Below are 23065 nucleotides of genomic sequence, written 5' to 3'. Positions count from 1 at the left end.
TAATTAATTTTTCCTTTTTTTTTTTTGAGACAGGGCCTAGCTCTGACACCCAGGCTGAAGTGCACTGGTGTGATCTCAGCTCACTGCAACCTCTGCCTTCCTGGACTCAAGTGATCCTCCCACCTCAGCCTCCTAAGTAGCTGGGACTACAAATGCACACCACCACACCTGGTTAATTTTTGTATTTTTTGTAGAGACAGAGTTTTGCCACGTTGCCCAGGCTGGTCTGGAACTCCTGGGCTCAAGCGATCCGGCCACCTTGGCCTCCCAAAGTGCTAGGATTACAGGAGTGAGCCACAATGCCTGGCCGCAATTAATTTCTGTTATGATACACATCCTTGCTTGTGGTATGATGTCTCAAGCCTCCATCCTTTAGTCTAATCTCCCTGTCCTTTGTTCTGCAGGATAGTACAGTGGCTCAAGCCTATAATCCTAGCGCTTTGGGAAGATGAGGCAAGATGAGCGCTTGAGCACAGGAGTGTGAGACCAGCCTGGGGAACACAGTAAGACCCCATCTGTATACAAAAATTTTAAAAATTAGGCCTCGCATAGTGGCTCACGCCTGTAATTCCAGCACTTTGGGGGGCCAAGGCAGGTGGATCACGAGGTCAAGAGATGGAGACCATCCTGGCTAACACAGTGAAATCCCGTCTCTACTAAAAATACAAAAAATCAGCCAGACGTGGTGGCACGTGCCTGTAGTCCTAGCTACTTGGGAGGCTGAGGCAAGAGAATCGCTTGACCCCGGGAGGCGGAGGTTGCAGTGAGCCGAGATCGCGCCACTGCACTCCAGCCTGGGCAAGAGTGAGACTCCGTCTCAAAAAAAAATAATAAAATAAAATAAAAATTACCCAAGCATGATGGTATACACCTGTAGTCCTAGTTACCTGGGAGGCTGAGGTGGGAGGACTGTTTAAGCCCAGGAGTTCGAGGTTACAATGGGCTATTGCACCACTGCACTCCAGCCTGGGTGACAAAGTGCAACCCTATCTTTAAAAAAATAAAAAAATAAAAATAAGGACTCAGATGAGATTTAAAAGAGGCAGTGGATGCGTCACTGTGCCCTGAAGTACGCCTAATCAAGAATAGCCTTCCTGCTCTTTGAGGCCTACTCTCAAAATAAGGAAAAAAATCAACAGCCAAAAAATGAAGAGCCTGATGATAAACTTTTTTTTAAATTTTTTTGAGATGGAGTCTCACTCTGTTGCCCAGGCTGGAGAGCAATGGCATGATCTCGGCTCACTGCAACCTCCGCCTCCTGGGTTCAAGCAATTCTGCCTCAGCCTCAAGAGTAGCTGGGACTACAGGCGCATGTCGCCACACCCAGCTAATATTTTATATTTTAGTAGAGAGGGGTTTCACCATGTTGCCCAGGCTGGTCTCCATCTCTTGGGCTCAGGTAATCCACCCACCTTGGCCTCCCAAAGTGCTGGGATTACAGGCGTGAGCCACCGCACCAGGCCAGGTAAACATTTTTAATGGATCATACTTTTCTTACAGTTAAATTATTGGTAAAAATTTTCAAAGTTCATCACATTCTTAGGCTCCTAATAAATCAAACATTAATTGGGGCTAGAATAAAGTATTCTGGCTGGTAGGCTTGTTCCAATGTCAGACCAACTCCTTTTTCCAAAAGGCCACAAAAATATACTAGTCTCTTCATCAATAATATCAGGCATGAATACTACCATGAAAAAAAAAACAGGGTGAAATTTGTGGAAACAAGATTCTCACTGGCCTCTACTTTCCATAACTAGGTGCAACGGCTGCAAGACTACACACAGCCAATCCTCATTATCCTCAGGTATCACACCTGTGAATTCAACCACTCATTAAAATTTCTAACACTCAAATCAATACTTGTAGCAGTTTCTTTTTTTTTTTTTTTGAGACAGTCTTGCTCTGTCGCCCAGGCTGGAGTGCAATGGCACGATCTCGGCTCACTGCAAGCTCCGCCTCTCAGATTCATGCCATTCTCCTGCCTCAGCCTCCTGAGTAACTGGGACTACAGGCGCCCGCCACCACGGCTGGCTAATTTTTTTGTAGTTTTAGTAGAGACAGGGTTTCACCGTGCTAGCCAGGATGGTCTCGATCTCCTGACCTTGTGATCCGCCTGCCTCAGAATCCTAAAGTGCTGGGATTACAGGCGTGAGCCACCGCACCTGGCCAACCCTCAGTAATATTCTTTTAGGCTTAGCTAGACTTTTGAGAACTCTAGCCCCTAGCCACAATAGCACTTTGCCACTCATCCCTCTCCTGCCAAAAGCCTCTGACTCCAGCCAAATCAAGCCGATTGCTAGGCCTTATCTAGATTCAGTACCTTTCTATTCCCTGCTCATGTGATACCCCTCCGCCTGAAGGGCCCATCTACCACACCATTCCCTTAGTTTTCCACGCCTATAATCCTAGCACTTTGGGAGACCCAGGCGGGAGGATTGATTGAAGACAAGAGTTCAAGACCAGTCTAGGCAATAAAGAGAGACCTTGTCTCTACAAAAAAAAAAACAAACGATAAAAAAAAAAATTAGCTCGGAGTGGTGACACATGCCTGTAATCCCAGCTACTTGGGAGGCTGAGGCTGGTGGATTGCCTGAGCCCCAAAAGTTGGAGGCTGCTGTGAGCCACAATCACGCGATTGCACTCCAGCCTATGCGACAGAGTAAGGCCCTGTCTCACAAAAATAAAAATAGAAGATTCCTTACCCTCCACTAGTAACAATTTCCTTTAAATAACCTTCAAGAGCTCTTAGGCAGACCTCTTTCAATAGGACCTTTTCCGACATGACCCTCTTTTTGAGACAGGGTCTTGCTCTGTCGCTCAGGCTGGAGTGCAGTGGCGTGAACACAACTCACTGTACCCTTGACCTCCTAGGCTCAAGTGATCTTCCTGCCTCAGTCTCCCAAGTAACTGGGACCACAGACAAGCGCCATTAAGACTGGCTATTTTTTTTTTTTTTTGGAGAGATGCGTCTTACCATGTTGTCCAGGTTGGACTTGAACTCCTGGGCTCAAGCACTCTTTTCACCTTGGCCTCCCGAAGTGCTGGGATTACAGGCATGAGTTACCATACTCGGCCTCTGACCCCTTTCTATTCTGCATTGTCACCATTATCTGCTGACCTTAGCTACTCATCCATAAGCTTTTTTGAGGCAAGATCCATAGCTCTGTGTCACTGTAGCATCTAACATGTACAGTGTAGCAGATGTGCAGTGGATCACAAATAATGGAATGATTACCCACTATTAACTCTAATATCCTGTCTCACATTTGTCACATTCATTACTTCCAGGGTTTAGAAACCCAAAGCTACGGGAATCCAATGCTTATTTTGAGCTTTATCCAAAATTCAACTAAACATTAGTCAGAATATTACTTTGATTACTCCAAGAAAACAAATACTGGCACACTGCTGTTTTAAAACCTCACATTCATTTTTACCAAGAGCACTGGCTGAGTAACATACTGTGTTCAAGGGTTGGGGACACAGAGGTGACTAGTTCACACAGAGGCCTATTTTCAGAGATCTTGTGGTAGAGATGAGACATGTGTGTTGATGGCTACAGTAAAGGTGCTACACAAAAGTCATGAATACAGTGCCTTAGGAAGAGAATAACGAAGAAGAAGCTCTGCCCGATAGATCAGGCTTTACATACAGGCGTCTCCAAGCAGAAAAAGGCACAACAGTAGAGCAATGGACATGTCCAAAGTCCAGGATGTGGAAAGTAGGGTGTGGCTGGAAGGAAGGGTGAGGACCAGAGATGCTGCTGGAAATCAGGCAGTGCCAAGTACACTAAGACTCTAATTGGCCAGTCTGAATGAGCCGTCCTTTTTAACAAGCTTTTCTGAGGTTTCAAATGGGTAGTTCAATTTTCAACAAATAAAAGGGTGGCCAGATTATAAAGAAAATTAGGTATTTACCAATCATCCTCATCTAATAAGTAACTAATTCAATAAAAATATATTGATTATCTTCTAGGAGCTAATGAAGACAGAAGACCTGCTCCCTGTGGTTAAAGACATTTAGAAAACTCATACATTGAGCTTCAAAGCCTAAATATGGTAATTTACTTCTTTTTGTTTTTGAGACAGGGTCTTGTTCTGTCACCCAGGCTGGAGTGCAATGGCGTGATCTTGGCTCATTGTAAACTCCGCCTCCCAGGTTCAAGCCATTCTCCTGTCTCAGCACCTCCCCAAGTAGCTGGGACTACAGGTATGCACCACCACACCTAGCTAATTCTTGTATTTTTAGTAGAGACAGGGTTTCACCATGTTGGCCAGGCTGGTCTCAAATTCCTGACCTCAAGTGATCCACCCGCCTCGACCTCCCAAAGTGCCTGGGATTACAGGCATGAGCCACCGCGCCTGGCCAAAATGGTAACTTACTTCTGAACCTAGTTCAGTGAACTTTTCCCTAAAGACAGAAAAATATTTCACTAGCTGAGATAGATACAGGTTGAGCAACCCTAATCCAAAAATTTGAAATGCTCCAAAATCTGAAATTTTCTGAGCACTAACATGACACAACAAGTGGAAAATTCCACCCCTGACCTTATTTGAAAGGTCACAGACAAGAGGGCAGTCAAACCTTTTAGTCCAGGCAACATACTTAGCCCAGCCTGGCTCTACAAAAAATAAATTAGCTGGGTGTGGTGGCATGCACCTGCCAGCTACTGAAGTAAAAAGATCACTTGAGCCCAGGAGTTTGAGGCTGCAGTGAGCTATGATTGCATTGCTATACTCCAGACTGGGTGACAATGAGACCCTGCCTGTAAAAAACAGAAACAAAAATATCACAAACAAAAAAACAAAGCACACATTGTTTTGTGTATAAAATTATTTAAAGTGTTGGCCGGGCAAGGTGGCTCACGCCTGTAATCCCAGCACTTTGGGAGGCCGAGGCGGGTGGCAGGAGATGGAGACCACAGTGAAACCCCGTCTCTACTAAAAATACGAAAAAAGTTAGCCGGGTGCGGTGGCGGGCGCCTGTAGTCCCAGCTACTCAGGAGGCTGAGGCAGGAGAATGGCGTGAACCCGGGAGGCAGAGCTTGCAGTGAGCCGAGGTTGTACCACTGCACTCCAGCCTGGGTGACAGAGCAAGACTCTGTCTTAAAAAAAAAAAAAAAAAATTATTTAAAGTGTTGTATAAAATTACCTTTGGCATGTATAAGACATATACAAAATACAAATGAATTTCATGTTTAGACTTATGTAAATGCAAATGTTTAAACTTATGTAAATGCAAATATTAAAAAAAAATATCAAAACAGTTCTGGTCCCAAGCATTTTGGATAAGGGATACTCAACCTCTATTGGCTTAAGATAAAACAATAGCATGAGAAAATAATGGTAGAAGCTCAAAGTTCATTGTGCCTACTGACTGCTGGTTATAACTGTCATTTCCCCTTACATCGCTCTCTGTGATGGTGATGGGAAGGCCGCGCAGCATGATGGTCTTGCTCTCCCTCTCGTCACTGATGTCATGCCTATAGTCGTGCTCACCATAGTCACCATCTGAATGGTAGCCATCTTCGGATCGGTCACTGTTCCTTCTTTCACGCTCTCTCTGAGTTACAATAAACAAAATCACAATTAACATCACCCTGTACTCTTTGAAACAGACCCTCCACTCCTAGAAATTATCCTTAGCAGGAAGTGTACAGAGATTACACAAGCACTCCATGGTAATGTTCACTGCAATTTTTTTTTTTTGAGACAGGGGTCTCACTATGTTACCCAGGCTGGTCTGAACTCCTGGCCTCAAATGACCCTCCTGCTATGGCCTCCCAAAGTGCTGGGATTATAGGCACACCCAGCCTGCTGTGTTTTCTTTTTTTTTTTTTTTGAGACAGTTTCACTCTTATTGCCCAGACTGGAGTGCAGTGGTGCGATGATCTCTGCTCACTGCAACCTCTGCCTCCTGGGTTCAAGCAATTCTCCTCCTTCAGCCTCCCGAGTAGTTGGGACTATAGGCACTTGCCACCACGCCCAGCTAATTTTTTGTATTTTTAGTAGAGACAGGGTTTCACCATGTTAGCCAGGATGGTCTCAATCTTCTGACCTCATGATCCGCCCGCCTCGGCCTCCCAAAGTGCTGGGATTACAGGCGTAAGCCACCGTGCCGGCCTTCTGGTTTTTTTTTTTTTTGAGACAGAGTCTCCCTCTGTCGTCCATGCTGGAGTGCAATGGCATGATCTCAGCTCACTGCAACCACTGCCTCCCAGGCTCAAGCAATTCTCGTACCTCAGCCTCCTGAGTAGCTGAGGTCGCACCACTGCACTCCAGCCTGGGTGACAAGACTAAAAAGCTGTCTCAAAAAAAAAAAAAAAAAAAAAAAAAAAAGATATATCAAGATGACCAAAACAACAACTTATATTTATTATTTTTCATTATTATTATTTTAAAGACAGGGTCTCCCTATGGTGCCCAGGCTGGCCTCTAACTCCTGGGCTCAAGGGATCCTCCTGCCTCGGCCTCCCAAATTGTTGGGATTACAGGTGTGAGCCACTGTGCCTGGCCAACAACTTATATTTATCATTCATTTCAAAACACAGAACTAATATGTTATCATAACCCCATTGTTTCATCTTTAAAATGGGAATAACACCTACCTTATCAGGTTGTACTGAGACCTAAATGAATTCATGAAGTCAAGTGCTCAAAAGTACATGGTGATCCCTATGTAAACCCTGGCCATTATTTCTTTTCTTTTTTTTTTTTTTTTGAGATGGAGTCTTGCTTTGTCACCCATGCTGGAGAGCACTGATACAATCTCAGCTCACTGCAACCTCCGCCTCCCAGGTTTCAAGTGATTCTCTTACCTCAGTCTCCCAAGTAGCTGGGATTACAGGCGCCCACCACCCCACTCAGCTAATTTTTGTATTTTTAGTAGAGACGGGTTTTACTATGTTGGCCAGACTGGTCTTAAACTCCTGACCTCAAGTGATCTGGCCGCCTTGGCCTCCCAAAGTGATAGGATTATGGGAAGGGGCCACTGGACCTGGCTGCCTGGCTGTTATTTCTATTACTATAAGGCTCAGAGTGTTTTGGGGGGTTATACAGCCGCTGGTCACTCACCTCTGGACTGTCATAGTCTCGGTAGTCATCATATCTATCACCCCTCCGATCATCACTAGATCTTTTGTAATCTGAGTCCCTCCGCCTGCTTCGGGATTCACGCTCATCACGGTCATCCCTGTCTATGATGGAACCGTATCTTCCACTACGCTCTGTTCTACTCACTCTGCCAGGGAAAATAATTTTCATTCTAAAGTCAGTCACATTTTGTACCTTTAAAAGACATAGTTAAAAATACACACGGCCCACAGATCAGTTTATAAGATAATCCAAATAGTTTAAAGTGTTAAAAAGTATTACCAAATTCCAGTTTACTAAGATAACCACTGGGAAAATACCTACATCCCTAAATGTAATGATAATTCTCAGGAATGTATGCTAAATCTGAAATAAACATTTGGGTTGAATATTTCTAAGAAAGAGTCATGTTGTCCAAGTTTATTTTTGCATTTTGTCAAGCCTAGAGTCTACATATTATCCCTTCATCCCTGATTCAGATCTTAGTGACCAAAAACAGGAAGAAAGCAGTTACTCGAATTTCACCCAATTTTAAAGGGTGAAATTAAGTACATCCCTGGCTCATCTACTCTCAAGGGTATCATGCCTACTGGAAAATGGACCAAAAACCTGGATGAACTAAGTTAGTCTTTTTTTTCCCCATCAGGCAACTTAGTTGTCTGTCAGATACAACTGGATAGTTACCCAAAACTAGCACCCCTTAAGAGAACACTCTTCTTATAACATCTGGTTTATTTTTGGCTAAAGGGCAGCACTGGGCTTCATGGGAAAACCTAATAACAAGAGGCTTAAACCTATTTGACCACAGATAAAATACACCTTTTGTAAACTGTTTACCAGATTCATAAAACTGCTGTGCAATCATAAGGCAAAGGAAAGGTTTATAAGGGCTTCATTTAGAATATACAAATTTAATAAAAAGAATCAAAGGAAATATGGGACTGAGACACCCCAAAGGGGTAAATGTTAATTTAGTAAGCTATTTAGAACCACAGACTGCTGACACAGCATTAAAATACCATGTGACATGAACATCTCCTAAGGTCCCTCAGCCTGTCAATGTGATCTACCACAGGGACTGACCTCAATACTAAAAAGGCAGATGGCTGAATAAGGGTGTGTGTTTAAATCAAATGGTCTGAGAGCATGTACCCATAGGTGACACAATAGCCAAATGCTCTCATCTTAATTTTCCACTAATTCTTTGGCTCTTTCTTTCTTCATGTAACACACAGTCCCAAGCTTCTCAGCTCTCTAAGTCTGGATCATCTTGCTATTCAGGGAACAATAACAAGAAATGGCATTCATTGATTGCTTACCACAGCCAGGAACTGTGCTAAGTGCCAGACTGTATGATCTCCTGGATTCTGCAAAGGTTGCTGTCCACACAGGGAACCTTCAGTGACCCACTCTACCCTGCCCTTCTTTGCCTAAAATTCTTTCTTATCCTTCAGCTTCCTTCCAGAGAATATTTTCTCCAGGAAGCTTTCCTGGCTGTGAACAAGAAAAAGACATACTTCCTATGTGTTCTAAGAGCACCCTACACTTTATCACAGCATGTTCACACAGTACTTTAATTCTCTCACTAGACTGTAGTTTGTGACAACAGGATCATAAAGGTGTTCGTTAGCAATGCCTGGCGCAAAACACTCATATATTAGTTTGATAAACTATTTTAAACAAGGAGTTCAGTCCCCACTGAAATGTTGAGATCAAAGCCACGTACTGTAGTAACTTACCTTTTGTCTGAACCCATTGTCCCACTGAAGATTTAGCACACAGCTCCAAAAGGTTCAAATTTTATTTTTTCTAGGAGACAAGAGAGATTAATTGCTATAAATCTCAGAGATCACTTAAGTCAGCAGCTCCATAGCTTGGATACTACTGAGGCTGGGATTTCATCAAACCTTCAAATCATTGACAGTGATTATCTAAGGTGGGGAAGTGGTGGGGACAAACTGTCAACGTTAAAATCGTGCTAACATTTTGTTAACAATGAGCAAAACCGGAAGATTAAGCATATTTTAAAATATTAGATTCCAGATTTAACAGAATCATAATACGGAGCAAGCAGAAGACTCCTTCCCTGCTCCTACCTTAGAATTACAAAGCAAAAAGGGCAGAGCTACAATCAGCTCCTTGGTTTTGTATCAAAGCAACTCCGTGGGATAGTTGACCGTTAAAACATTAATCCAAGTGTCTTCATTAATACAAGGAGCAACATGAAATTCAAACACTTCTGATGAAAAATGTAAAACCTCGTAGAAGCTGGGATACTGAGCTGACTGAAATCTACTACATTAATAACGTATCGCATAAGACAAGAGCAAAGCTAGAAACGACCTAATTCCTAGGTAACAATAACCACCACGTCTTGAGCCAGTTCTTATGACTACAAACCACTGAGTAGTGAACAGCCCGGCCCCCCGCCCCCCGTTGGTAATAAGACATCACACTGCTGGACCGCGTTCGATGAGCGCGAGGTCCGAAAAATCAGTTCCAGTAGTCTCTGGAAGCCTAGTCTAGAGCGAATGCTCAACGATTTGTTGAAATTAATAAATGAAAAAGAACCACTGGGGGGAAACAAGTCCCGGGGCATATTCACTGGTGCCGCCCCTTGTCTCCCGGGCGGTGCCGGCACCCACCTCCGTGGGGTCTCGCGGCCGAGATGGCGGCGTCACGGCCTGCTCGACCGACTCCAGCGTCCGGCCTGCCCTCCCCGCACATGCCCCTCCCGCCTCCCAAGAGGTTCCAAACCCGCAGATGGGCGATCACCGAACAGCTTTTCGGAGAGGGCGATTCAGTTGCAGTTGAGCGGGGGATGGCGGCCAGAGACTGCCAGGGAGCTCCCAAGGAGTGCCCGAGGGACAGGCGACGGCTCCACTGCTCCGTTGGGCTGAAGATTAGGGGACGTGTATCCACAAGGGGCAAAGTCACAGCCAGAAAGAAGCAGGCCCAAGGCTGAGCTGGCTGGACACCCTCTGGAAACTGACAGAGCTGGCAACAAGGAAGGGCGCGGCCCTCCAACGCCTGGGGTAATTTAGCCCCTCTACAGAACCGGCTGGAGCTGATCAGTCGCCTCCGGCAGCTGACAAGGGAGGCTTGGGGGCCAGCCCAAATGGCAAGAACCTACCGTCGTTACAGACAGCCGCCGCACTTACCCCAAGGAGAGACCGAAGCAGCAGTAGCGGTTCTGCGCCCCAGAACCTCCAACAAGGTTCGGCGGCTACACAAAATGGCGCCTCCGCCGACGGCCGTCTCCTACCCACAGTACCTCACGCTTATCCCCTCCCCCTGTCACCCGCCTCCTGCGGAGAAGTCCAATCCTCGAAGCGGCCTGGCTGTGCGAGGGCTGCCGGGAAATGTGGTCGCCAGACCATCCTGTCACTTAGGACGCTCTGTGTTAATGTCTTGCAATTCTCTTCTAAATCACTACAGAGTTGTCGATCGGCTTTTGCAGACCTGGATTAGTTTTTAGGGCTCCTATTAGGCATGTTAATAATTCTTTGCTTTTGCTACTAGCGCCGTAGAGAGTACAGTTTGCTTTCACTGGCACGGTGTAAAACATTGTCTAATTCTACTTCAAAAGGAGACCGTGCGTGAAGTGGTGGCTCACTCACAAGCCAGCATTTTGGGAGGCCGAGGCAGGAGGATCGCTTGAGGCCAGGAGTTCGAGACCAGCCTGGGAAACACAGTGAGATCCTATCTCTACAAAAAATAAAATTAACTGAGCATGGTGGCGTGCACCTCTTGTCCCAGCTACTCAGGAGCTGAGGTGAGAGGTTCGCTTGGGCCCAAGAGGTCGAGGCTGCAGTGAGCTGTGATCTCGTCACAGCACTCCAGCCTGGGGACAATGCGAGAAACTGTCGCTAAAAAATAAAAAGGAGGCCGGTGCTGGGCGCGGTGGCTCACTCCTGTAATCCCAGCACTTTGGGAGGCCAAGGCGGGCGGATCACAAGGTCAGGAGATCGAGACCATCCTGGCTAACACGGTGAAATCCCGTCTCTACTAAAAATACAAAAAAATTAGCTGGGCATGGTGGCGGGCGCCTGTAGTCCCAGCTACTTGGGCGGCTGAGGCAGGAGAATGGTGTGAACCCGGGAGGCGGAGCTTGCAGTGAGCCGAGATTGCGCCACTGCACTCCAGCCTGGGCAACAGAGTGAGACTCTGTTTCAAAAAAAAAAAAAAAAAAGGCTGGACGCAGTGGCTCACGCCTGTAATCCCAGCACTTTGGGAGGCCGAGGCAAGTGGATCACGAGGTCAGGAGCTCAAGACCAGCCTGACCAATATGGTGAAACCGCGTCTCTACTAAAAATACAAAAATTAGCCGGGCATGGTGGCATGCACCTGTAGTTCCAGCTACTAGGGAGGCTGAGGCAGGAGAATCACTTGAACCAGGGAGGCAGAGGTTGCAGTGAGCTGAGATCGTGCCACTGCACTCCAGCCTGGGTGACAGAGCAAGACTCAGTCTCAAAATAATAATAATAATAATAATAATAATAATAATAATAATAATAATAAATAAATAAATAAAAAGGAGGGGCCAGGCATGATGGCTCATGCCTGTAATCCAAGCACTGTGGGAGGCCGAGGCAGGTGGATCAGCTGAGCTCAGGAGTTCGAGACCAGCCTGGCCAACATGGCTAAACCCCGTCTCTACTAAAAATACAAAAATTAGCTGGGTGTGGTGGCGCACACCTATAATCCCAGCTACTTGGGAGGCTGAGGTAGGAGAATCGCTTGAACCCAAGAGGCGGAGGTTGCAGTGAGCCGAGATTGCTCTACCGCACTCCAGCTTGTGCAACACAGCAAGACTCTATCTCAAAAAAAAATAAAAATAAAAAATAAATTAAAATGAGGAACATTAGTTGATCGCTTTACTAGATGCTATATTATTGCCCTAGATGCTTTGCAAACATTTTTGTTTGTTTGTTTGTTTGAGATGGAGTTTTGCTCCTGTTGCCCAGGCTGGAGTGCAATGGCACAGTTTCAACTCACTGCAAACTCTGCCTCCCAGGTTCAAGTGATTCTCCTGCCTCAGCCTCCCAAACAGCTGGGATTACAGGCACCCGCCACCACACCCAGCTAATTTTTGTATTTTTAGTAGAGATGGGGTTTCACCATGTTGACCAGGCTGGTTTCGAACTCCTGACCTCAGGTGATCCACCTGCCTCAGCCTCCCAAAGTGCTAGGATTACAGGCATGAGCCACCGCACCCAGCCAGAACTGATTTTTCAGGTCATACAAATTGAAAACTGTGCCTATACCATTAGTTACAGAAAGTTATACATCAGTTACAGAAAACTGTGCCTATACCATTTTCTTCTCTCTCTGGAAAACAAATCTTTCAAGAATAAGTGGAGGGATGTCAGTGTATATATCTATATATAGGTATATACACAATACATATATAGACGAAAAGGTAGAAATATAATATATGTGGTGTGTGTGTATTTAGAGAGGAAATATATACAATTTATGGGGAAGCATATATGCAAAATATCAGAAAAGAGTACATGCATTAATGAAATTTAAAAGTTAACATTGATGACATCACTGCAAACCCTACAATGGATGATGCAGATGCCAAGAATCTAGAACTCACTAGACTTCATAGCCACTAGCCGTTGCCTGCCTTGTCCCCAAAGCAGTTCAACAAGCACCTTTGGATATTCCTGAGGTGCTTGCTGAGCTGGGCTTACCACCAGTCATAAAAGCTATATAGCTATTCACAAACCTCAAAATAATCTTTTTTTTTTTTGAGACGGGGTCTTACTCTGTCACCCAGGTTGGAGTGCAATGTCATGATCTCGGTTCATTGCAACCTCGACCTATCCAGGTCAAGAGATCCTCCCACCTCAGCCTCCTGAGTAGCTGAGACCACAGGTGTGCACCACCATGCCCAACTAATTTTTTGTATTTTTGGGGTAGAGATGGAGTTTCACCATGTTGCCCTGGCTGGTCTCGAACTCCTGAGTTCAAGCGATCCTCCTGCCTCAACCTCCCAAAGTGCTGGGATTACAAGCGTGAGCCACCATGCCCAGCCTGCAAAATAATTCTTAAACTTGAAGAGGTCCCTGGCAAAAAAAGATGGATTTCATCCATAGGTAAGTGCCATCCTCCAAATTATCTCTGGTAGCTGATCTTCTTTTAGACATTGGCCTGTTGAGCTCCAGAGCTCTGCTGCCAAAGGCCTGTCTGGTAGCTGATGTAAGAAAAAGAAAGACATCAGAGTGAGTTGCTCTTTGTTTTAAATAAAGCCACATATGTTCAATAAGGGATAGTCCTTTAAGATTGTCTTTTCTAGCCCTCTCCCTCTCCCTCTCCCCACGGTCTCCCTCTCTCTCTCTTTCCACGGTCTCCCTCTGATGCCGAGCCGAAGCTGGACAGTACTGCTGCCATCTCGGCTCACTGCAACCTCCCTGCCTGATTCTCCTGCCTCAGCTTGCCGAGTGCCTGCGATTGCAGGTGCGCACCGCCACGCCTGACTGGTTTTCGTATTTTTTTGGTGGAGACGGGGATTCGCTGTGTTGGCCGGGCTGGTCTCCAGCTCCTAACCGTGAGTGATCCGCCAGCCTCGGCCTCCCGAGGTGCCGGGATTGCAGACGGAGTCTCGTTCACTCAGTGCTCAATGGTGCCCAGGCTGGAGTGCAGTGGCATGATCTCGGCTCGCTACAACCTCCACCTCCCAGCAGCCTGCCTTGGCCTCCCAAAGTGCCGAGATTGCAGCCTCTGCCCGGCCGCCACCCCGTCTGGGAAGTGAGGAGCGTCTCCGCCTGGCCGCCCATCGTCTGGGATGTGAGGAGCCCCTCTGCCTGGCTGCCCAGTCTGGAAAGTGAGGAGCGTCTCTGCCCGGCCGCCATCCCATCTAGGAAGTGAGGAGCGCCTCTTCCCGGCCGCCATCACATCTGGGAAGTGAGGAGCGTCTCTGCCCGGCCGCCCATCGTCTGAGATGTGGGGAGCACCTCTGCCCTGCCGCCCGTCCGGGATGTGAGGAGCGTCTCTGCCCGGCCGCCCCGTCTGAGAAGTGAGGAGACCCTCTGCCTGGCAACCGCCCCGTCTGAGAAGTGAGGAGCCCCTCCGCCAGGCAGCCGCCCCGTCTGAGAAGTGAGGAGCCCCTCCGCCCAGCAGCCACCCCGTCTGGGAAGTGAGGAGCGTCTCCTCCCGGCAGCCACCTCGTCCGGGAGGGAGGTGGGGGGTTCAGCCCCCCGCCCGGCCAGCCGCCCCGTCCGGGAGGGAGGTGGGGGGGTCAGCCCCCCGCCCGGCCAGCCGCCCCGTCCGGCAGATGAGGGGCGCCTCTGCCCGGCCGCCCCTACTGGGAAGTGAGGAGCCTCTCTGCCCGGCCAGCCGCTCCCTCCGGGAGGGAGGTGGGGGGGTCAGCCCCCCGCCCGGCCAGCCGCCCCGTCCGGGAGGGAGGTGGGGGGGTCAGCCCCCCGCCCGGCCAGCCGCCCCGTCCGGGAGGGAGGTGGGGGGGTCAGCCCCCCGCCCGGCCAGCCGCCCCGTCCGGGAGGTGAGGGGCGCCTCTGCCCGGCCGCCCCTACTGGGAAGTGAGGAGCCCCTCTGCCCGGCCAGCCGCCCCGTCCGGGAGGGAGGTGGGGGGGGTCAGCCCCCCGCCCGGCCAGCCGCCCGGTCCGGGAGGTGAGGGGCGCCTCTGCCCGGCCGCCCCTACTGGGAAGTGAGGAGCTCCTCTGCCCGGCCAGCCGCCCCTGTCCGGGAGGGAGGTGGAGGGGTCAGCCCCCCGCCCGGCCAGCCGCCCCGTCCGGGAGGGAGGGAGGTGGGGGAGTCAGCCCCCCGCCTGGCCAGCCGCCCCTTCCGGGAAGTGAGGGGCGCCTCTGCCCGGCCGCCCCTACTGGGAAGTGAGGAGCCCCTCTGCCCGGCCAGCCGCCCCGTCCGGGAGGGAGGTGGGGGGGGTCAGCCCCCCGTCCGGCCAGCCGCCCCGTCCGGGAGGTGAGGGGCGCCTCTGCCCGGCCGCGCCTACTGGGAAGTGAGGAGCCCCTCTGCCCGGCCACCACCCTGTCTGGGAGGTGTACCCAACAGCTCATTGAGACCGGGCCATGATGACAATGGCGGTTTTGTAGAATAGAAAGGGGGGAAAGGTGGGGAAAAGATTGAGAAATCGGATGGTTGCCGTGTCTGTGTAGAAAGAGGTAGACATGGGAGACTTTTCATTTTGTTCTGTACTAAGAAAAATTCTTCTGCCTTGGGATCCTGTTGATCGGTGACCTTACCCCCAACCCTGTGCTCTCTGAAACATGTGCTGTATCCACTCAGGGTTGAATGGATTAAGGGCGGTGCAAGATGTGCTTTGTTAAACAGATGCTTGAAGGCAGCATGCTCATTAAGAGTCATCACCACTCCCTAATCTCAAGTACCCAGGGACACAAACACTGCGGAAGGCCGCAGGGTCCTCTGCCTAGGAAAACCAGAGACCTTTGTTCACTTGTTTATCTGCTGACCTTCCCTCCACTAATTGTCCTGTGACCCTGCCAAATCCCCCTCTGCGAGAAACACCCAAGAATGATCAATTAAAAAAAAAAAAAAAAAAAAAAAGATTGTCTTTTCTAGTTTCTGAATGTGAAAAAAAAAGTTCCCCTCTTTAATGAAATCATGATCATGTTTTTTTAAAAAAATCTCCTACCACTTGGCAAAAGAAGAGACTGGTTCACATGTTTTGGTTCCAGGCTGGGATCTATTGCTCTAGAAGATAAAGAAGAAAAAATTGTATGAAAGAATTCTTGCCTATACCAAGAAACCAAATGACTTCTTTTGTCAAAGATGGGCTTTGATGAACTAAGGAAGAGATATAATCAAAATTCAATCCGACAAGTATTTTCTATAAATCTATGAGCTCAGCATTATTTATTCATTTATTGAGTACCTGTGCCATTATCATTAGGCCCTGTGCCAGGCCCTAGGGATAAAGTAGTGAAGAAAATTACTGAAGATCTCTGCTCCGGCATCAAAAGCCTCAGGGAACTTCCCAGGGACATCACAGGGTGACAGTTTTCACCCCCATTCTTACTTTAATCAGTACCCAAGTGTTGTGCTGAAACCCTATTAACGTCAACAAGGGAAGGAACCAGGTTCAAGAGGCTGAAGAAGAGACCTAGAGCCAGCAAATGAAATGTGAGGTTTTATTACTTTAAATGACAAAAACCGTGAATACTTTATCTCCAACCTTATATTAGGGGCTTACATACAGAGAAAAGAGCCCAGTGGCAGTGGGCTGGAAAGGAGAACCACCTTACGTACAGAAATGGTCCAGTGGTGGCCAGACGTGGTGGCTCACACCCGTAATCCCAGCACTTTGGGAGGCCGAGGCAGGTGGATCACGACGTCAGGAGTTCAAGACTAGCCTGGCCAAGATGGTGAAACCCCGTCTCTATTAAAAATACAAAAGTTAGCTGGGTGCCGTGGCAGGTGCCTATAATCCCAGCTACTCGTGAGGCTGAGGCAGGAGAATCGCTTGAACCCGAGGGAAGGAGGTTGCAGCGAGCCAAGATCGCGCCACTGCACTTCAGCCTGGGCGACAGAGTGAGACTCTGTCTCAAAAAAAAAAAAAAAAAAGAAAGAAATGGTCCACTGGTGACGGCTGGATAACAGGAAAACATATCCGCATGGCCCAGTGCCAGTGGGCTGGGCAGGAAAACCGCAACCGCCTGCAAACATCATGCAGCGTATATAGCATATTCACTTAATAATACTCTCTCCATAATGACCTCCACCTAGCAAACTTCATTTGCCCCAAAACTCAGGGCCTCAATCTCCTGTATGTCCCGTGTTCCATGTGACAGACTAGGGGCTAAGATGTTTATTATAGGTAAGGAACTAAGCTCTAGTTGGTCACTCCCAGATTCCCTAGTTGGGAACACACATTCAGGTGCATCTGCCATACAGGGTTATTCTAAGAGTAGGCTTAAATTATTGCTCTCAGGCCTGGGCGTGGTGGCTCATGCCTGTAATCCCAGCACTTTGGGAGGCCGAGGTGGGCAGATCACTTGAGATCAGGAGTTCGAAACCAGCCTGGCTAACATGGTGAAACCCCGTCTCTACTAAAAATACAAAAATTAGCCAGGCATGGTGGTGCGTGACTGTAGTCCCAGCTACTCAGGAGGCTGAGCCACAAGAATTGCTTGAACCTGGGAGGCAGAGGTTGCAGTGAGCCGAGATGGCCCCACTGCACTCCAGCCTGGGTGACAGAGCAAGCAGAGCGAGACTGTCTCAAAAAAAAAAAAAGGCTGGGCACGGTGGCTCACGCCTGTAATCCCAGCACTTTGGGAGGCCGAGGTGGGTGGATCACGAGGTCAGGAGATTGAGACCATCCTGGCCAACACAGTGAAACCCCACCTCTACTAAAAAATAAAAAAAAAAAATTAGCCGGGCATGGTGGCAGGTGCCTGTAGTCCCAGCTACTGGGGAGGCTGAGGCAGGAGAATGGAGTGAACCCAGGAGGCGGAGCTTGCAGTGAGCAGAGATCGTGCCACTGCACTCCAGCCTGAGCGACAGAGCAAGACTCCGTTTCAAAAAGAAAAAAAAAAAAGCTATCAGGTGCTTTTTTTTTTTTTTTGAGATGGAGTTTTGCTCGTTGCCCAGGCTGGAGTGCAATGGTGCAATCTCGGCTCAAGGCGACCTCCACCTCCTGTGTTCAAGCGATTCTCCTGCCTCAGCTTCCCGAGTAGCTGGGATTACAGACATGCGCCACCATGCCTGGCAAATTTTGTATTTTTAGTGGAGATGGGGTTTCTCCATGTTGATCAGGCTGGTCTCGAACTCCCGACCTCCCGTGATCCACCGCTTGGGCCTCCCAAAGTGCTGGGGTTACAGGTGTGAGCCACCAAGCCCAGCTGGTACTGCTTTTAAAAGTATATTAAGGCTAGGCATGGTGGCTCAGGCCTGTAATGTCAGCACTTTAGGAGGCCCAGGCAGGCAGATCATTTGAGGTCAGGAGTTCAAGACCAGCCTGGCCAACATGGTGAAACCCAGTCTCTACTAAAAAAATACAAAACTTAGCGCGGCGTAGTGGCATGTGCCTGTAGTCGGAGCTACTCAGGAGGCTGAGGCAGGAAAATTGCTTGAACCCAGGAGGTGGAGGTTGCAGTCAGTCGTGATCTTGCCACTGCACTCCAGCCTGGATAACACAGAGGGAGTCTGTCTCAAAAAAAAAAAAAACACAAAAAACAAAGTGTATTAAAAATTTCATGGCCGGGTGCGGTGGCTCACGCCTGTAATCCCAGCACTTTAGGAGGCAGAGGTAGGTGGATCACGAGGTCAGGAGATCGAGACCATCCTGGCTAACATGGTGAAACCCCATCTCTAGTAAAAATACAAAAAATTATCCAGGCATGGTGGCGGGCGCCTGTAGTCCCAGCTACTTGGGAGGCTGAGGCAGGAGAATGGCATGAACTCGGGAGGCGGAGCTTGCAGTGAGCTGAGATCGTGCCACTGCACTCAAGCCTGGGAAAAATAAATAAATAAATAAAATAATATAATAAATTCAGACGTTGGCCGGGCACAGTGGCTCACGCCTGTAAATCCCAGCACAATGGGAGGCCAAGGCAGGTGGATCACCTGAGGTCAGGAGTTTGAGACCAGCCTGACCAACATGGTGAAACCCCCCCTCTACCAAAAATACAAAAGTTAGCTGGGCATGCTGACAGACGCCTGCAATTCCAGCTACTCGGGAGGCTGAGGCAGGAGAATCTCTTGAACCTGGGAGGCAGAGGATGCAGTGAGCTGAGATCGCGCCATGCACTCCAGCCTGGGCAACAGAGAGAGACTCCATCTCAAAAAGAAAGAAAAAGGAAAAAAAATTTCAGACCTTGCATGTTCTCACTCATAAGTGGGAGTTGAACAATGAGAACACATGGACACAGGGAGGGGAACACACACAGGGACAAGGGGAGGGAGAGGATTAGGACAAATATCTAATGCATGCGGGGCTTAAAACCTAGTTGATGCCAGGCGTGGTGGCTCACGCCTGTAATCCCAGCACTTTGGGAGGCCGAGGCAGGTGGATCATGAGCTCAGGAGATCGAGACCATCCTGGCCAACATGGTGAAACCCCGTCTCTACTAAAATACAAAAAATGAGCGGAGCGTGGTGGTGTGTGCCTCTAGTCCCAGCTACTTCAGAGGCTGAGGCAGGGGAATCACTTGAACCCGGGAAGTGGAGGTTGCAGTGAGCCGAGATCCCGCCATTGCACTCCAGCCTGGCAACAGAGCAAGACTCCGTCTCAAACAAACAAACAAAGAAAAAAACCCCAGATAATTGGTTGATAGTTGCAGCAAACCACCACGCACATGTACATGTATACCTACGTAACGAACCTCCACGTTCTGCCCATGTATCCCAGAAGTTAAAGTTAAAAAAAAAAAAAAAAAATTTCAGACCTTATTTCCAAAAGCAAAATCTCCACTACAAAGGAAAAGTTAAACTAGGAAGAACAAACCAACCTAGGCCATGGGCCAAACTACATCTGAGCTTAAACACTTACTTCAGGGAAGATGTAATCTCAGCACTTTAGGATGCCAAGGTGGGCGGATCACCCTGAGCTCAGAAGTTCGAGACCAGCCTGGTCAACATGGTGAAACCCCATCTCTACTAAAAATACAAAAATTAGTCACACATGGTGGTGGGCACCTGTAATCCCAGCTACTAGGGAGGCTGAGGCAAGACAATTGCTTGAACATGGGAGGTGGAGGTTGCAGTGAGCCAAGATCAGGCCATTGCACTCCGGCCTGGGCAACAAGAGTGAAAAGTGCATCTCAAAAAAAGAAAAAAAAAGGCCAGGCATGGTGGCTCATGCCTGTAATCCCAGCACTTTGGGAGGCCAAGGTGGGCGGATCACAGGGTCAAGTGATCGAGACCATCTTGGACAACATGGTGAAACCCTGTCTCTACTGAAAATACAAAAATTAGCAGGTGTGGTGGCATGCACCTGTAGTCCCAGCTACTCGGGAGGCTGAGGCAGAAGAATCGCTTGAACCTGGAAGGCAGAGGTTGCAGTGAGCCAAGATTGTGCCACCGCACTCCAGCCTGGCGACAGAGCAAGACTCTGTCTCAAAAAAACCAAAAAACAAGTCTATGTCATGCTGTCTCCATAGCATACCGTATTTCTCCCTTGAGGGTCTCATTCTGTCAGTAATTGCTCAATGTCCATTTTTCCCAGTGGACTGAGTTATATGGGCAGAGGCCAACATCAGTCTTGCTATAATCCCCAGTGACAAGTAGACTAAGCTTTCAAAACATATACCAACACTTAATAATTGGATGCTGCCTATGTTGAGTTAACAACTTCATTAGTGAAGCATTTAATGTGTTCCATAGCTCATGACAGGTCTAGTCAGGTGACATAGGGTTAGAAGGAAAACCTGGTCTGGCCAGTTCAGGACAAAACTAGACCAGCTTCCAAAAAGAATTTTGACCTACTCAGACAGGAAGTAATGAGTTACTTCACAGATGAATCTGCAGACCATCGTTAGATCAGAAGGGTTTTTAAAGTGCACTTGTCTAGTGCTGATAGATTCAAATGGCCCATCTTATGTAGTAATGCAGCACTAGTAGTAGCAAGGCCCAGAACATGGGGCTCTCAGTTTCTAAGCTAATGTGCTCCTGATTTTGTTTGTTTTCCCTTTTGGAGGAATAAAGACTTATTAAAGAGAAAAATTAGATCTGGACACAGCATGGCAAATAAATTCAGATTTACTATTCCTGTTCATGTTTTCTTCTTAGCATATTCTCCCTAACCTCTCCCACTCCTCACTCCCCATCTCTCCCAAACCCTCTGCCACACCCACCTTTAACAGAGTATATTTCAGCCCTCCTTGGTCCAGCCTTCTGTATACAAACCATTCCCTTAGGCAAGGGGTTGGCAAACTAAAACTCACAGGCCAATTCTGTCTTTGTGAATAAAGTTTTATTAGAACATAGCCACAACCACTTGTTTACAGATTACCTATTGCTGCTTTCTCACCACGACACTACAGCTAAATAGTTCTGATAAAGATGATCTGACCTGCCTTATGCTATCCAAATGGTGGTCTCAGTTCTCTTCCTAAGAAACATTCTTCCCTTGAGACATGTGCAAAGTGAAATTTTTAGTACTGTGATATGTAACCCTGAGGAATTTTATTTTTCTGAGACAGGGTCTCACTCCATTGCCCAGGTTAGAGTGCAGTGGTGTGATCACTGCACTCACTGCAGCCTCAACCTCCTGGGCTCAAATGATCCTCTCACCTCAGCCTCTGAAAGTGCTGGGATTTTAGGTGTAAGCCACCATGCCAGGCCAGGATTTTTAAAAGTTATAATAGGCTCTCATAGCCAAAGAAATAGAGCAAAATTTAAAACAAAACAAAAACATGCTTATAGGTTATATAGTCCTCTTTTTTCTTGCTCTGTCACCCAGGATGGAGTGCAGTGACATAATCTCGGCTCGCTGCAACCTCCTCCCAGGCTTAAGCAATTCTCCTGCCTTGGCTTCCTGAGTAGTTGGGAATGCACCACCATGCCCAGCTAATTTTTGTATTTTTAGTAGAGACAGGGTTTCACCATGTTGGCCAGGCTGGTCTCGAACTCCTGACCTCAAGTGATCTGCCTTCCTTGGCCTCCCAAAGTGCTGGGATTACAGGAGTGAGCCACCTACCGTACCTGGCCTTATATAGCCCTTTTATTTTATTTTATTTTATTTTATTTTATTTTGAGATGGAGTCTTGCTCTTGTTGCCCAGGCTTGAAGTACAGTGGCGCAATCTCAGCTCACTGCAATCTCCACCTCCTGGAAGTGATTCTCCTGCCTAAGCCTCCCCAGTAGCTGGGATTACAGGCGCCCACCACCATGCCCGGCTAATTTTTATATTTTTAGTAGAGACAGGGAGCACTCTCTCTCTCCTACCAGTAGCCCCACTCCCACCCATCTCTGGGAAAAAAAAATAACAAAAAGATAATCACATTGAAAAAAAGTTTATTTAAAAAAGTTCTAGCAGCAAGAACAGTAACAAAAGAAAAGGAGAGACAAACAAAACAAGAGGGAGGTTGTATCCCATGGAACTTGTCTCCTTTCTTAATCGAGTTCTTTATATCGAGCAAACATGACTCTTCGAACAGCATCTCGGTAAGTCTCGTTGGACTGTCTTTTGCTGGTTCTTCCTGAGGCTCCAACACTGGGGCCCCTCATCCGGCCTTCAGCCTGTAAAACAAAGACAAACTATGAAGTGGGCCCTATAGATTAATTAGCCTCAGCGCTGGTCTTTGACCACAGGCATTTCTGGACTAGTAAGAAGCAGTATATAGGATAATTTTTTTTTTTTTTTTAGATGGAGTCATGCTCTGTCGCCCGGGCTAGAGTGCAGTGGTGCGATCTGGGCTCACTGCAAGTCTGCCTCCCCGGTTCAAGCAATTCTTGTGCCTCAGCCTCTGAGTAGCTGGGACTACAGGCGCCTGCCACCACGCCCGGCTAATTTTTGTATTTTTAGTAGAGACAGGGTTTCGCCATGTTGGCCAGGCTGGTCTCGAACTCCTGGCCTCAAGTGATCCGCCCACCTTGGCCTCCCAAAGTGTTGGGATTACAGATGTGAGCCACCACACCTGGCAGAATAATTTTTTTTTTGAGACAGAGTCTCGCTCTGTCACCCAGGCTGGAGTGCAGTGGCACGATCAAGATCTTGGCTCACTGCAACCTCTGCCTCCCCGGTACAAGCGATTCTTCTGCCTCAGCCTCCTGAGTAGCTGTGATTACAGGCGCGCGCCACTGCACCCAGCTAATTTTTGTATTTTTAGTAGAGACAGGGGTTTCATCATATTGGTCAGGCTGGTCTCGAACTCCTGACCTTGTGATCCACCCACCTCGGCCTCCCAAAGTGCTGGGATTACAAGCATAAGCCACTGCGCCCGGACCCTGGCAGGATAATTTTTTTAAAGAATCTTTTGGCCGGGCACAGTGGCTCACGCCTGTAATCCCAACACTTTGGGAGGCTGAGG

The 23065-nt window shown here is 48.0% G+C and overlaps 2 protein-coding genes across 22 annotated transcripts in view, besides 6 other annotated features; both read right to left on the bottom strand.

Moving 5' to 3' along the window:
- RBM5 (RNA binding motif protein 5) overlaps positions 1 to 10363 on the bottom strand; it is a 30103-nt gene extending 19740 nt beyond the window's left edge. For all 8 annotated transcript variants that reach the window (NR_036627.3, NM_005778.4, XM_011533262.3 and 5 more), the window contains exons 1-4: positions 10253 to 10363; positions 8831 to 8900; positions 7074 to 7239; positions 5407 to 5562 (exon numbers count right to left, since the gene is read on the bottom strand). Coding sequence is in view for 7 of the 8 variants with exons in the window: in NM_005778.4 (NP_005769.1) it covers positions 5407 to 5562; positions 7074 to 7239; positions 8831 to 8847 (339 nt within the window). In the remaining variant the exon portion in view is untranslated. The remainder of the gene's footprint in view (positions 1 to 5406; positions 5563 to 7073; positions 7240 to 8830; positions 8901 to 10252) is intronic.
- Positions 9324 to 9914: an enhancer, noted in NCBI's record as "NANOG-H3K27ac-H3K4me1 hESC enhancer chr3:50126801-50127391 (GRCh37/hg19 assembly coordinates)". NCBI's record gives its function as "activates a minimal SCP1, AML or CMV promoter by ChIP-STARR-seq in primed H9 embryonic stem cells {active_cell/tissue: H9 hESC(primed)}" and the evidence as "EXISTENCE:reporter gene assay evidence [ECO:0000049][PMID:30033119]".
- Positions 9915 to 10506: an enhancer, noted in NCBI's record as "NANOG-H3K27ac-H3K4me1 hESC enhancer chr3:50126209-50126800 (GRCh37/hg19 assembly coordinates)". NCBI's record gives its function as "activates a minimal SCP1, AML or CMV promoter by ChIP-STARR-seq in primed H9 embryonic stem cells {active_cell/tissue: H9 hESC(primed)}" and the evidence as "EXISTENCE:reporter gene assay evidence [ECO:0000049][PMID:30033119]".
- Positions 10076 to 10185: an enhancer, noted in NCBI's record as "active region_19888". NCBI's record gives its function as "activates an Ori minimal core promoter by ATAC-STARR-seq in GM12878 lymphoblastoid cells {active_cell/tissue: GM12878}" and the evidence as "EXISTENCE:reporter gene assay evidence [ECO:0000049][PMID:35858748]".
- Positions 10226 to 10395: an enhancer, noted in NCBI's record as "active region_19887". NCBI's record gives its function as "activates an Ori minimal core promoter by ATAC-STARR-seq in GM12878 lymphoblastoid cells {active_cell/tissue: GM12878}" and the evidence as "EXISTENCE:reporter gene assay evidence [ECO:0000049][PMID:35858748]".
- Positions 15155 to 15719: an enhancer, noted in NCBI's record as "NANOG-H3K27ac hESC enhancer chr3:50120996-50121560 (GRCh37/hg19 assembly coordinates)". NCBI's record gives its function as "activates a minimal SCP1, AML or CMV promoter by ChIP-STARR-seq in primed H9 embryonic stem cells {active_cell/tissue: H9 hESC(primed)}" and the evidence as "EXISTENCE:reporter gene assay evidence [ECO:0000049][PMID:30033119]".
- Positions 16557 to 17057: an enhancer, noted in NCBI's record as "H3K4me1 hESC enhancer chr3:50119658-50120158 (GRCh37/hg19 assembly coordinates)". NCBI's record gives its function as "activates a minimal SCP1, AML or CMV promoter by ChIP-STARR-seq in naive H9 embryonic stem cells {active_cell/tissue: H9 hESC(naive)}" and the evidence as "EXISTENCE:reporter gene assay evidence [ECO:0000049][PMID:30033119]".
- The window catches only part of RBM6 (RNA binding motif protein 6), a 137100-nt gene continuing 136067 nt past the window's right edge, over positions 22033 to 23065 (bottom strand). For all 14 annotated transcript variants that reach the window (NR_146071.2, XM_047447131.1, NM_001349192.2 and 11 more), the window contains one exon: positions 22033 to 22274. Coding sequence is in view for 13 of the 14 variants with exons in the window: in XM_047447131.1 (XP_047303087.1) it covers positions 22149 to 22274 (126 nt within the window). In the remaining variant the exon portion in view is untranslated. The remainder of the gene's footprint in view (positions 22275 to 23065) is intronic.

Source organism: Homo sapiens, chromosome 3, assembly GCF_000001405.40.
Source record: "Homo sapiens chromosome 3, GRCh38.p14 Primary Assembly".
Taxonomy (NCBI): domain Eukaryota; kingdom Metazoa; phylum Chordata; class Mammalia; order Primates; family Hominidae; genus Homo; species Homo sapiens.
Note: the sequence above shows the minus strand (reverse complement) of the source record. Positions and strands in the feature narration are given on the sequence as shown.